Source organism: Homo sapiens, chromosome 2 (assembly GCF_000001405.40).
Source record: "Homo sapiens chromosome 2, GRCh38.p14 Primary Assembly".
In the NCBI taxonomy this organism is placed as follows: domain Eukaryota; kingdom Metazoa; phylum Chordata; class Mammalia; order Primates; family Hominidae; genus Homo; species Homo sapiens.
The window spans coordinates 56,149,775-56,164,675 of record NC_000002.12 but is presented as its reverse complement, the minus strand read 5'-3'; the positions used below and the strand labels follow the sequence as shown (position 1 = coordinate 56,164,675).

Here is a 14,901-nt window from a genome sequence, read left to right as displayed (position 1 = left end):
TCTATTATATTATGTCTCCAAGGCATGAAAAAAATTATTTTCATGCTAATTTTTTTAATTTCTTTATTTTTTGGAGACAGGGTCTCACTCTGTCACCTAGGCTGGAGTGCAGTGGCACAATCCTAGCTCACTGAACCTCAGCCTCCTGGGCTCAAGCTGAGCTCCCAGCTGAGCCTCCTGATTAGCAAGTACTAAGGTACATGCCACCATACCTGGCTAACTTATCTTTCTTTTTACTAGACATGGGGTCTTGCCCAGGTGGATTCACAGCCGAATTCTACCAGAGGTACAAGGAGGAGCTGGTACCATTCCTTCTGAAACTATTCCAATCAATAGAAAAACAGGGAACCCTCCCTAACTCATTTTATGAGGCCAGCATCATCCTGATACCAAAGCCTGGCAGAGACACAACCAAAAAAGAGAATTTTAGACCAATATCCCTGATGAACATCGATGCAAAAATCCTCAATAAAATACTGACAAACCGAATCCAGCAGCACATCAAAAAGCTTATCCACCATGATCAAGTGGGCTTCATCCATGGGATGCAAGGCTGGTTCAACATACGCAAATCAATAAATGTAATCCAGCATATAAACAGAACCAACGACAAAAAACACATGATTATCTCCATAGATGCAGAAAAGGCCTTTGACAAAATTCAACAACCCTTCATGCTAAAAACTCTCAATAAATTAGGTATTGATGGGATGCATCTCAAAATAATAAGAGCTATCTATGACAAACCCGCAGCCAATATCATACTGAATGGGCAAAAACTGGAAGCATTCCCTTTGAAAACTGGCACAAGACAGGGATGCCCTCTCTCACCACTCCTATTCAACACAGTGTTGAAAGTTCTGGCCAGGGCAATCAGGCAGGAGAAGGAAATAAAGGGTATTCAATTAGGAAAAGAGGAAGTCAAATTGCCCTGTTTGCAGATGACATGATTGTGTATCTTGAAAATCCCATCATCCCAGCCCAAAATCTCCTTAAGCTGATAAGCAACTTCAGCAAAGTCTCAGGATACAAAATCAATGTGCAAAAGTCACGAGCATTCTTATACACCAATAACAGACAGAGAGCCAAATCATGAGTGAATTTCCATTCACAATTGCTTCAAAGAGAATAAAATACCTAGGAATCCAACTTACAAGGGATGTGAAGGACCTCTTCAAGGAGAACTACAAACCACTGCTCAATGAAGTAAAAGAGGATACAAACAAATGGAAGAACATTCCATGCTCATCGGTAGGAAGAATCAATGTCATGAAAATGGCCATACTTCCCAAGGTAATTTATAGATTCAATGCCATCCCCATCAAGCTACCAATGACTTTCTTCACAGAATTGGAAAAAACTACTTTAAAGTTCATATGGAACCAAAAAAAAGCCCGCATTCCCAAGTCAATCCTAAGCCAAAAGAACAAAGATGGGGCATCACGCTACCTGACTTCAAACTAGACTACAAGGCTACAGTAACAAAAACAGCATGGTACTGGTACCAAAACAGAGATATAGACCAATGGAACAGAACAGAGCCCTCAGAAATAATGTCACATATCTACAACTATCTGATCTTTGACAAACCTGACAAAAACAAGCAATGGGGAAAGGATTCCCTATATAATAAATGGTGCTGGGAAAACTGGCTAGCCATATGTAGAAAGCTGAAACTGGATCCCTTCCTTACACCTTATACAAAAATTAATTCAAGATGGATTAAAGACTTACATGTTAGACCTAAAACCATAAAAATCCTAGAAGAAAACCTAGGCAATACCATTCAGGACATAGGCATGGGCAAGGACTTCATGTCTAAAACACCAAAAGCAATGGCAAGAAAAGCCAAAATTGACAAATGGGATTTAATTAAGCTAAAGAGCTTCTGCACAGCAAAAGAAACTACCATCAGAGTGAACAGGCAACCTACAGAATGGGAGAAAATTTTTGCAATCTACTCATCTGACAAAGGGCTAATATCCAGAATCTACAATGAACTCAAACAAATTTACAAGAAAAAAACAACCCCATCAAGAAGTGGGTGAAGGATATGAACAGACACATCTCAAAAGAAGACATTTATGCAGCCAACAGACACATGAAAAAATGCTCATCATCACTGGCCATCAGAGAAATTCAAATCAAAACCACAATGAGATACCATCTCACACCAGTTAGAATGGCAATCCTTAAAAAGTTGGGAAACAACAAGTGCTGGAGAGGATGTGGAGAAATAGGAACACTTTTACATTGTTGGTGGGACTGTAAACTAGTTCAACCATTGTGGAAGTCAGTGTGGCCATTCCTCAGGGATCTAGAACTAGAAATACCATTTGACCAAGCCATCCCATTACTGGGTATATACCCAAAGGATTATAAATCATGCTGCTATAAAGACACATGCACACGTATGTTTATTGCGGAGCTATTCACAATAGCAAAGACTTGGAACCAACCCAAATGTCCAACAATGATAGACTGGATTAAGAAAATGTGGCACATATACACCATGGAATACTATGTATCCATAAAAAATGATGAGTTCATGTCCTTTATAGGGACATGGATGAAGCTGGAAACCATCATTCTCAGCAAACGATCGCAAGGACAAAAAACCAAACACCGGATGTTCTCACTCATAGGTGGGAATTGAACAATGAGAACACATGGACACAGGAAGGGGAACATCACATGCCGGGGCCTGTTGTGGGGTTGGGGAGTGGGGAGGGATAGCATTAGGGGATATACCTGATGTTAAATGACGAGCTAATAGGTGCAGCACACCAACATGGCACATGTATACATATGTAACAAACCTGCATGTTGTGCACATGTACCCTAAAACTTAAAGTATAATAAAAAAAAAAACTCAAAACAAAAAAGAAATGGGGTCTTGCTATGTTGCCCAGGCTGGTCGTGAACTCCTGGCCTCAAGTGATTCTCCCACATCGACCTCCTAAATTATTGGGATTACAGGCATGAGCCGCCACACCAGCCTCCATGCTAAATTCTTGAAATGATATGCTTCCCTGTTTACAGAATTCTCAAATCTTTTTCATGTATACATTTCAGTCATTACCCAGTCACACTTTACTGTGTCACTTTTAGCCACTGCATCATCCCCATGGTAAAAAAGTAAAGAGAAAGTCATTTTGAGGTAGAAATAGGATTAACAAATATTCTCTATAATTTTCTAGACCTTAACCAAGAGTTCACTGAACATCTTATAAAGATTGTTTGTTATTAAAATCAAGGGATTCTATTTTATCATCAACATGGGTGTTCTATAGTTCAGTCATGTCAGAATAAAAGAGAAATGACAAGATATTATGAGCCATTTAAAGCTAAGAGTTATGTTAAAGCCCAGGTTGGCTTTTACTTTAATAATAAAAAATAAATATTATTTAATTTTTTCACTCTGAAATATAAAACCCTGGAGGTCTGGCGAGATAAACAAGAGCTGGATAAGTTTGAAATGCAAGCACTGATATATTTTGTATTTTTCTAGGGGTAATAGCTCTAGTATCTTATCACTTTAATAAATAGATTTTCTTAGGGAAAAATTAAAAAATCTAACACAAAAAAACAAAATCTAGCCTGGCTCCAGATTTAAATTTCACCAAGAGCAAATGTTATCTTAAGAAATCATATTTTTAAATCACTGTAATAGATGTAGCCATGAGAACAAATGTGAAATTTTCAGTCTATTAAACACACATCAATATAATAATGAGGCATGTTGGTAAGTAAAGATGGTATATTCTTTAATCAGTACATGTAAGACAAGAATTCCAAGGCCAAAAGTTTGCAGTTAATATCACTTGGAGGATAGTATTTTTTAATGTATCATTATTATTTTAAGGTGTCACTAAGATTTAGGAAAGTATACTTTTTTGGTTGAGTATGCATCTGACACTCATTATTTTGAACCACTGGCTTGATGTAATTTTTTTTTTGAAACAGAGTCTGGCTCTGTTGCCCAGGCGGGAGTGCAGTGGTGTGATCTAGAGTTACTGTAACCTCTGCCCCCAGAGTCAAGCCATCCTCCCGACTCAACCTCCCAAGTAGCTGGGACCACAGGCACACACCACCATGCCCAGCTAATTTTTGTATCTTTTGTAGAGATGGGGTTTCACCATATTGCCTTAGGCTGGTCTGAAACTCCTGAGCTCAAGCAATCCACCTGTCTCAGCCTCCCAAAGTGCTGGGATTATAAGCATGAGCCACAGCACCTAGCCTGATCTAATTTTGTTTTGTTTTGTTTTGTTTTAAGGAGCAGAGAGTTTAATAGGCAAGAAAGAAAAATTTTAAATTTTGTTTTAAAAATTAAAGAGAGAAGACAGAAGGAAGAGGCTCCCCCATACAGAGATGGGGAGGGGGTGCTCCAAAGCCAAAAGAGGAGGTCCCCAAGTACGGTGGACACCAGCCAGGTATATATGCAGAGGCTGGAGGAGGCGATGTCTGATTTGCACAGGGCTCAGGGGATTGGTTTGACTAGGCATGTCATTCATGTAGCTTGCAAAAAAGCTGGCCCTCCCACCCTAGCCTTTTAATATGCAAATACAATGCACCATGATGTTCTACACACGTGGGGATAGGTGGGGGCCATGCTGCCGGGAACATGTGGGAAAAGGGCAAGAAGGCTGAGGGAATCTCCATGTTTGGGTAGACCCAGTTTCTAATGGTTGGCATTTGCATATCAAAGGTTGCCAGCCTGGCTCTAAGAGCCGGAACTTCACAAGAAAACATTTCTGGAGATGCTTTAAAAAATGAAAACTTCCCAAGGACCCCTTGTCCTCTCTATCTGCCTAAAATAATTTCTTAATAACTCTTACAACAGCCCCCACTGTGAAGATGCCACAGTAACTGCTGTCAGGGGGTTTGGGACGACGACTCTTTCTGGCTACTTCCTGCAAAAAAGGGGCGTTGAATGGGGAACAGCAGCTAGGGCTCCTCCTGGGGTTGATCTAAGGGTCCTTGGAAGAATGGCATGTCCATGTGTGGTTCAGTTTACAGCACCATTTGGCATTTGATTGCTTCTAGGCAAGAAGAAACAATTCGAGTTACAGTATTGAGTATAAAGGGTCCAAATATCAATACAAGACATATAAGTAAGAGAGGGCTTAATAAAGGGGTTAACCAATTCCATAAAGACCAGAATTCATTAAAGAGGGATTGTAGCCACCCGGGGCTGAAGCCAGCATTTTCTCTGAGCCTGTTAATAATTTTTATTTGATTTTTAAGTACCTGTAGATTTTCCTCTACTTTATTAGAGGTGTTAATCCAAAAGCAGCATGTTTCATTTAAAACTTCATCACTAAACCCAATAAAAAGTCCTAGCAGACTCAGTGACAGTAAAACTTTCATGCTTCCTTTTTGTCAGTAAATATTATCCCTACCATAAAGATACTAATTAAGCAAAACATGACAGCAATGGAAACTCTCTGTCCAATATTTAAGTTAGAAGGTGATACCATGGATAACCCTATTGCAAATAGAAGAGTGAGGACAGCAGTTCCCACAAGTGTGGTGTGGTAGGTAATTTCCATCTGAAATTTTACTTGCCAAGATACAGAATTCCCCTCTGAGGGTCTATGAAGTTCCTTGGTTTTATTTTCCCAAACAAAGAAACCTCCGGGTTATGGGCACCTTACTCACTTTCATTACCAGGCAGAATTTGCAAGATAATTGCCCAGAACTAGCATATTGATTCACATTTTTACGTTACCCATCCCTTTTTTTTTTTCCCCAAGCTGCAGAAGATTACCACTTGATTCACAGGAATAAGCAGGGTTAGTCTAAAATGTAGGCAAAAAGCTTAAAAATGATTAATGAGACTAGGATTTAATGATAAATGTATGATAAGCTTTGGAGCAAAATTTTTTTCTCCAGTCCTCATTTTTCTAAAAGCTAATTATGAATAAACTTTAGTCTTATACTTGGCCTGATTATTTGCATGGAGTGCAGCAAGAATGGTTATTTTTACATAGGCCTTTTGGAGTGGCTTTGATGAAACTCTGTTCCACAAGGAATTTCAGATCACTTTTAAAGCCCATAAGATCTAATTTTTAAAAACACATTATGTAGATTACTTGATCTACAATGAACAACGTGTAAGACCAGATGTCTTTAAATGCAGCTGTTATTTTAAAAATTAATGATCAATTCTGATGTCTTGCTTTTTAAAAAATGATAACCCTATCTGGATCTATAACTTCTATGATATCCCCTTATTCAAATAGGAGACTACATGAAGCTATCCTTTGTATCACACATTTCTATGAAATGAATGTTTATGTCCTCCCAAATCCATATGTTGAAGCCCTAACCCCCAACGTGGTTGTATTTGGAGATAGGACCTCTAAGAAATTAAGGTTAAATGAGGTCATAGGGGTGGGATCCAATAGGATTAGTGACATTATAAGAAAAGATACCACAGAACTGACTACTTCCACATGCACAAATAAAAGAGGTCATGTAAACACACAGCAAGAAGGCAGCTGCCAACAAGCCAGAAAAAGAGCCCTCACCAAAAACCAAATCAGCTGGAACCTTGATCTTGGACTTCTAGCCTCCAGAATTATGAGAAAATAAATTTCTGTTGTTTAAGCCATCCAGTCAATGGTATTTTGTTATGGTGGACTGGGCATAGTAATATGTATATATATAATTTCATGTAATTTATATATTTGGTACTTACTTTGTACCAAACAAATCTGATTAAGTTATTAATTGACTGGATTCTACTAAAAATAATCTTCTACTATCTAGACTTTGAATTTATTCTTCAAATCTGTGGCACTCATGCTATCATTCTCCACTCCTAAGCAAATGGTAGACTTTACTAATTGATCATACTGCTCTTTCATACTGAATCTAATAATTCTTATCAGCATTCTAAGCAGCTACTAACAATTCATAGAGATATTTAAGTTGAAATCCATTCCCAATTCCTGTATTAGACTAAAAGCTTATTGAGTGCTTATATACTATCTTTCTTTTTTTATACTCTATAACACTTCACATGATAGAAACTCAGTAAATACTCACTGAATTTAACAAACTGAATTTCGAGTATAAATCTTGTTCAAAGAAAGTTCCCTACACAAGAACTTTGGGTCATGAGTCAACATAAAGTTGTTTTGATTCTATACAAATACATAAGAAACAATGCAACATACTTTTAACTTTGACTGAATTTTCATCAAGTATGAATAATGAGCTGTAGCAATGGTTTGAATAATAATTCATAACAATAATTCATAATTTATAATAATAAATGGTGGATTATGCACCATTATGTATTAACTTCAAAGCTAGATGATTCAAGGACACAAAGAAGTGGAAAGCCCGGCCTCTCGCCTTGAGGAACTCTCTTATCTAGTTGAGATATTAGACTTTCACACACAAAACTTTTACTCACAATACAAGCAGAGTGTGACAAGTGCCACTGCCAAGTGAATGGTTTTGACAATAAAGGCATAAGTGTTTGGAGGAAGGAAAGGAAGATTTTTCCTTAAAGCTAAAAGGAAATTCAGTAGGTGAACCAACTCCTGCAGAGTTCAACTATTCTTCCTCTATTTCTTTCTTTCCTTTTTCTTTTTTTTTTTTTTTTTTTTTTTTTTTTTTCACTTTTGAGACAGAGTCTTGCTCTGTCACCCAGGCTGGAGTGCAGTGGTGCTATCTCAGCTCACTGCAGCCTCCACCTCCTGGATTCAACCAATTTTCCTGCCTCAGCCTCCTGTGTAGCTGGGATTACAGGAGTGCACCACCACACCCAGCTAATTTTTGTATTTTTAGTAGAGATGGGGTTTCGCCTTGTTGGCCAGGCTGGTCTCAAACTCCTGGCCTCAAGTGATCCACCCACCTTGGCCTCCCAAAGTGCTGGGGTTACAGGCGTCAGCCAACTTGCCTGGCTACTTCCTCTATTTTCTTATAACAAGGTCCACTATGATCTTCTGTTGATCTATCAAATTAGCTATGGGGACAATCATTGCATATTCGCCAAAGAGTTGCATCCTCTCTATGCTGACCTGCCCCATTATATGCAAAGCACATAGAGGAGAATGATTTTCTAAATCCTTGAGAAGCCAGGGATGCGACATACTGTCTTCCCTTTGGTGACTCAGTATCTTGCAGTCAAAGTCTTACCATTCTGATTTATAATGTTTTTGTCCCCAATGGCGACACTTTACAACAGAAAAAACATGAGGCTTCAAAACCACCTTTGAGGCAAAAAGTCTAAAAAGAAATAAATTGGTGGGTTTCCTACCCCAAGATATGCACCTCTTAGGGCTACATCTGCCTTGCTCAGTTAAGTCAGGAGAGTAGAACTTAAACTTTTAGCTAAGAAATAATTTGACCTTGATGGACTAGTGGTAGTAAATCATCATTATCATTAAAATTACCAATAAAATAGCCTATAACCTATCACAGGGTAAGCAATAAGCAAATCAGCAGCACATCTCATTAATGGAAATATTTATCAGCATTTGATTACAGACAGATTCTAAATCATTCTGAGATTCTGTCAAAAGTTTTTTTGTAAGTGGAAACTAGATGAAGAAGCCAAAGTCATAAGCTTCCCATGCATGAAGACAAACTATCCTTTAAGAACCTGGAGCTCACACCAAGTGGCAGACCGGAGTTTTCAGAGTAGTTCACTAGAGTAGACACTAGGAATCATGTCTCAGATTATTTTTTCCTTGGCAGTCATTCAGTTTATTTATAGAATAACATAAAATAAACATTCTCAAACCATGCTGGGTGTCATCAAGAGAGATCACTTATTTTCCTCTAAATTAAAACACATGTACACACATACACATACACACAAAGTCTTGTTTTCAAGATGAACAATCACACCCTCCCTCCCATACCCTTTACCTTCAACCCCACTGCCCTACGACACCTTGTTTCCAGAATAGGAGAAACACAGAATCAGGCCGATGAAGGAGTTTATTTTGTGTGAAAACCCACATATTTTTAAGAATGGGGATTAAAATGACTTCGTTTTTTAGAAGAGCTGGAAATTGGTAGAGCTTTCCCTGCTGAAGAAAAAGTAACATTTGTATGACCAAGTTACTCACTTTATCCAAATATTAACAAACACCTGCAACAGCACTAAGGACAGAAATATTGCAAAAGGGGAAAAAGGTGGGTGAAAGCTAGCCCTCTTCTTATTTTGGGGGAGGTAAGTAGGCATGTGACTCCTTTTGGTCCCCTCTTTCCCCTGCCTCTGCCAGCCTCCACGTGGGCACAGAGCCAGAAGCAAGACTGGTAAGAGCACGTGTCCAGTCTCTCCATCACCAACTCTCACTCCCATGCTCACCTGGAGAAATCATTGTGTGAGTGGTTTACTAGCACTTCTCAAATCCCTGAAGGAATCCCCAACAGGTGATGAGTTATTTGGCTGGAGTTCCAGAGATGAGAGAAAGAAAGAAAAAGAGAAAAGAAGAGGAAGAAGAATCAACATTATTGAGCTCCTAGGAAATACCAGATATGTTATATATTCTATTTAGTTCTAGCAATCAAATATGAGATATTGGATTCATCTGAGACCTATGTCTTAAATCCCAGCTCAGCCTCTTACTAGCTATGCAACCTTGTCCTCTCTGGAAGTCAGCAGTCTCATTTGCAAAGTGGGGTTGCTAGTAATAATAATAATCTTCTAGGTTTATAGAGAAGATTACATGATGTCATGAATATAACTACTTAATGTAATAAACAGCCACAATTTATCAAAGATTAGCTCCATTTTATACACAAAGTATATGATTCAGAAGTGTAGGTAACTCTCCCAATAAGGTGATGAAAACAGAACATGGCACATTTCCTCCTGGGATGGTGACTGACTAATTCAAAACATTACGCATGAATCATATGGTTTTTAAATGCATTCTCTATATATTTAAGCATTTGTTATCATTAAACTCCCTTCATAATAATGTGAAACAATGATCCTTGAAGGTGGCTTTCAGATTCAGCATGTCAGTCCCTGCTCCAGGCCATTCTAGTGGTTGGGAATGAGAACTCAGCTAGCTGTGGGCTCCCTGGAGCTCCTTTGCGCGAGACCCGGGCTCTCCTGATTCCTTCCTCCACCTCTCTTTGGGATGGGTTCCCCTGGACTTGCTTCCCCAAACTCTTGGCCTGTATGTCAGCATCCCTGTTCCTCTCTTTCAGGTGGAATCCTTACCCACAGATTTTGTTGTAGGGGCAGTAATTACCCCCAAATATTGTACTTCCTCTCCTACATTTAAACCCCTTAAAGTTACAGGATCATCTGACTAGTTCTAGGCAGTAAAATGTGGCCAGAAGTGTATCACCTTTGCACCAAGGCAATGAAAAACCCATGCTGGATTCTCCAATCTTATTTCTCCTGTTGTGGAGTGTTAAGTGCACATGACCTACATGATACAAATACTAAAATGGTAGCCTTGGTTAGTATGGGTCCCTGAGGGACACTGGAGCAGGTTGTCACCCCATACCACATTGGATACTTTGTATGTATAAGAAGTAAACTTTCATTTTGTTATAACACTGATTTGGGGGCTGTGTGTTAATATAGCAAAATCTAGCATATCCTAATTTATACAAAATTCAATCTCTGCCTATAAATTAGGACTGGGTCTCTTGCTCTTGACCACCTCTCCAAGGTCCTATATTGGCTCTCATTTTGCCTTTATGGGACCAGCATGCTCTGGAGCAAGCACAGAACTTGAAGTTCTAGTCACCTCCCAGGGGTTAATTATCTGAATCTCTCCTTCCCTTTTCTCCCCCAAATGCTACCTCAACCTCAAGGAAGTCAGAGATTGAGCCAGCTGGAGATTAACCAAGTCAACAGAATAAAGTTGGGAATTCTCATCCTGAGCAGGAAGAATCACTGGAGCAAGGGAGGTGAAAGAAGGGAAAGAGTTGACATCCTAGATATCAGGAGTAAGTGTGCTAGTTCTGAAGGGGCTGGTCAGAAGTAGAACCAGGGTCAGAAGTAGAACCAGAGTCAGAAGTAGGGTCCTAGTCAAAGTCTTGGAGCCAAGGGCTTCAAGATGGAAAGATGAGGCCAAAGGGAAAGTAAATCATGATCAAAGGTCCTGGCCAATTTCATCTATCCCTGGTTGATATGCACCATTCACCTCTCCGGGGCCAGTAGGTAGGTATGCAGACATAACTCTGGCTGGTTTCAAGAGCCAGGTGTCTACCAACATGAAAGCACCAGCCAACTCTACTGCTCTAAGAGATCTGTTAAATCCTATCATGTTTGTAAATATACTGGACAACTTGATTTAACCCATGTTCCCTAGTGTGGGGTTCCTCCTTTCTCAAAAATCCAGCAACTCACCCATCTCTCACCAGTAGAAACCAACCCAGCATGCTTAATAACTTGCCTCTTACTCTAAATGCTTACAATCTTATTCACTTGTGTAGCAACTTCCCTAGAATAAGCACAGAGCTAATTGAGGAACTTGATGACTCTTTTCTCAAGCCAAACAAGATGTTCACATTACCTTTAACATTCAACTCTGTGACCAGATTATCTGATTTGGTTATGAAAGCACGAATCACATCTTACACCCCAAATAACATACAAAATCAGTGTGCAGTGGAAAAGTTAATTAAGATTATGAAATATTAATTATCCTTTTTGATCTTTTCATTTAAAAACTCATTCTTCCGTCATTTGTTCCATATTCAAAGCTTAACTATAGATAAGGTATCTTTGAATTTACAAGGCTATACCCAGTGATATTTACAAGATAAATCTTCATATCACGCACTGAATATTCAATGAGAAACAACACATTTCTGGGTAGCTCCTCTATTATTGATACTCTGCATACCTGGAATGATTGTAAATCTTTGCGTATAGACCAAATTAAGTCTGTGATTAAATGTAAGGTTAAAAATCCCTTCTATTTCAAGCCTCAAGAAGAAGAGGAGATACTGTCACCAAAGATCTTTCTAAAATACAAACTAAGCCAAATGCTTTTACCATGAAAGAACACCAAGTTCACCTACAGAGAGACTTCCACATCGCTAAAATCCACCTGACTGTATTTAAGAACAGAGTCCATTGTTCACTTCCTTTACTTTAAAAATGTGTTTTCTCACTCTGTGCACATATATTCTATTCATCTGTAACAACATAATACAGCTTATTTCTGTTGATACTGGGGGAAGCAAGAGTTTATGAAAATGTATGTATTTAAAATCTAAAATTTTAAGATGTCTTTATATCCCAAGCCACCTTTTTTATACAGAGAAGGTGCTACTGTTAGGACCTGTGGAGGAGGTGATTTCCATTTGATTTTTTTGTGATTTTCAGATCACATAGAAGTTGTATTTAATGTCTTTGGTACACTGGATGGCCAATATATGACTAAACAGACAAACCAAGTTGAATACGCTAACCAAAAAGGATGCCCATCCCAGATTTAATAACTGTAGGAGATTCTACTCATAAGAAACTTCCAAGGATGCTGTCCCTAGAATGGGGAGGTGTGAGAACCCCAGAACCAATTAAGGCAGCCGATTTTATAAAAGGATATATGAGTGTCCAGGCCCTTGTGCAGGCACTGTCACTCCCTGGCACACCTCTCTACTCCAGTGACTTCTTGCTGCAAATACCTGTAACTCTGCCTACTGGCTTTCCTCTGCCAGTGAGGGCATACTTGACTGCCCCAGTGCAAGCTGAAAGTGCTAGAGTCTTAACGCTTTCAGGAGAAGCCCTCAGATGATGAGAGATGGGGATTTGGTGAATAGATCATATCTTATTTGCCTCTAAGATAGGGTAATACTAAAGCATGTTCTATACTCCCTCCTAGAGTTCCCCAGGAGGGCTGAGCTTCAGCTGCACAGTAGTAACCCATTTGACTCATTATCCTTTATTGGCTTCCTTCACTTTTCTGTTTTACTTCTCAACTCCCATGCTGATGTTTCCTGGGATCACCTCCCAAATAAACTACTTACAGTTTAATTCTTGCCTAGAGGTCTATTTCTGGAGGAATTCAAACAAAGGCAGATCTTTTGTGTTTTGGGGGGTTCAGATGGAAAACCCATCTGACTCCTATTGATGGATACCTAGACAGAATGGAGGCAGTGATTTTGGGTCCATGAGATGGTGGAGAGTAGAATCAGTTCTGACCCCCACTCTTAGTTGCTGCAGAAGTCTGGGGTGGTAACTGTGTGTGGAAAAAGATGAATAATAAGACTTCCAGCCTCAGAGCCCAGGCGTAAGCAGCAAGGCCAAGATTAACCTAAGAGAGTAAAATCATACTCCCCAAGAGTTGCAGTAGGAAGAGCAGGATTCTATCACCTTCCCTTCACAGCAAGGGACCAGCACTGCACTTCCATGAGCAATATCCTTTGGTGATGGGAAGCATCAGCTATTGTTGTCACTTACCCCACTGATGCTTCAAGAAGGTGCAAAGGTTGGAGCAAATTCTTTTTTGGACTGTGGAAGCTCCTAGGGCTGTGCTATCCAATACAGTAGCCATAGCCAAACATACACACGTGACTATTTAAATCTAAATTAAAAAAAATTAAAAGCCCAGTTCCTAGCCACTAACCACACTTTAAGTGCTCACCAGCCACATGGGCCTATGATCACGGCACAAAGTCCTTTTGGACAGTGCCTCCCTGGAGTTGTGGGGCAGTTCAGGAAGAGAGAGGATCTCAAGAAAGAAGGACATACTAAACTCCTGTCAAAAAAGGGTAAGAGGTCCTAAGACAGTCATTTTAAAAATAAAAATATATGCCTTTATTTATGCTATAAATTTGTAAACAGTTCATATTAGGGTTAGAATTACAGAATTAGTACAAGGGAGTTTAGAAATTATATAGGCCAATCTCCTGACCTGATGTTTTACAAGCTAGCATGAAAATAAAATGAATATACCTGTGAGCATTGGGAGAAGTAGTGCATAAATTCTAAGGGAATTATAAAAACTCTATTTTAATGACAGGTACAAAGTTTAATTTTAGCTGGAGCCAATAAAGGTAGGCCTCAGTGAGGAAGTAGCATCTTCAATAAGCCTTGAGGTAGATGTAGTATTTCAAAAGTTGTTAAAGTGTGGGGAGGAGGGACACTGAGGTTGAAGACAGAGGCAAAAAAAAAACAGAAGTCATGTCCAAGGAAGGTTTATTAGTCCTGTCTCTGTAGAGAACAGTAAAGATGGGCCAACGGGCTGGGGCCATTTGAAGGAGAACCAAGATAGTTAAATGGAGTCTCCTTCCCAGAACAAAGCCAGACCTAAGACACTTTATGGGGAGATCAGATAATTTTTCCCATTTGTCCCCCCTTGGCTGTCTATTGGTAGGGTACGAAAAGTGATTTCTCATCATGACACCCAACTCCTTGAGCGTTCTGATTATCTATGCCCTCAGGGGCAGCCCCTGTCTAAAATTCTGCAAGTCTTGATACTAACTCTGAGGAACTGCATGAAGGTGGTGCTTCTGCTCCTCTGCTCATACAGAGCAAGCAGAACAAGCCACTGTTTCTGTGGTGTGATTTCAGGAGAATGCTCTGTTATGACGCTCTGTTGCCATTCTTACTCCACACCTTATAAAATGACAAATAAAAGAACCCCAACTCTAAACTGACTTAAGCAAAAGGAAGATTGGTTGGTGAGATTCTGGGGTAGCTCCATAAAATCAAAGAAAGAGTTTGTCACCCAACCCTTGAGCAGGACAGGGAGGGCAGCACTGAAGATTTTAGGGGAAATGCGAACTTGTGCATCCTCTGGGTGCTCTCTGCCCCACCTTCATTCTGTTCTTCCTGGGGTGTTCCTCATTCTATGTGGACATGGTACCATGACCACAAACTTAGCTTAAAAACTCACAGGGAAGAGCTCATGGGCCATCTCTGGACCCCATCACTGTGTCCGGGAAACTAGGAAAGTG

At 39.6% G+C, this 14,901-nt stretch overlaps 1 long non-coding RNA gene across 1 annotated transcript in view; it reads right to left on the bottom strand.

Moving 5' to 3' along the window:
- Positions 1 to 14,901, bottom strand: part of LOC105374690 (uncharacterized) — a 231,734-nt gene that overhangs the window by 12,882 nt on the left and 203,951 nt on the right. Inside the window, exon 7 of the long non-coding RNA XR_940109.3 lies at positions 9,335 to 9,415. This is a non-coding gene — a long non-coding RNA (uncharacterized LOC105374690). The remainder of the gene's footprint in view (positions 1 to 9,334; positions 9,416 to 14,901) is intronic.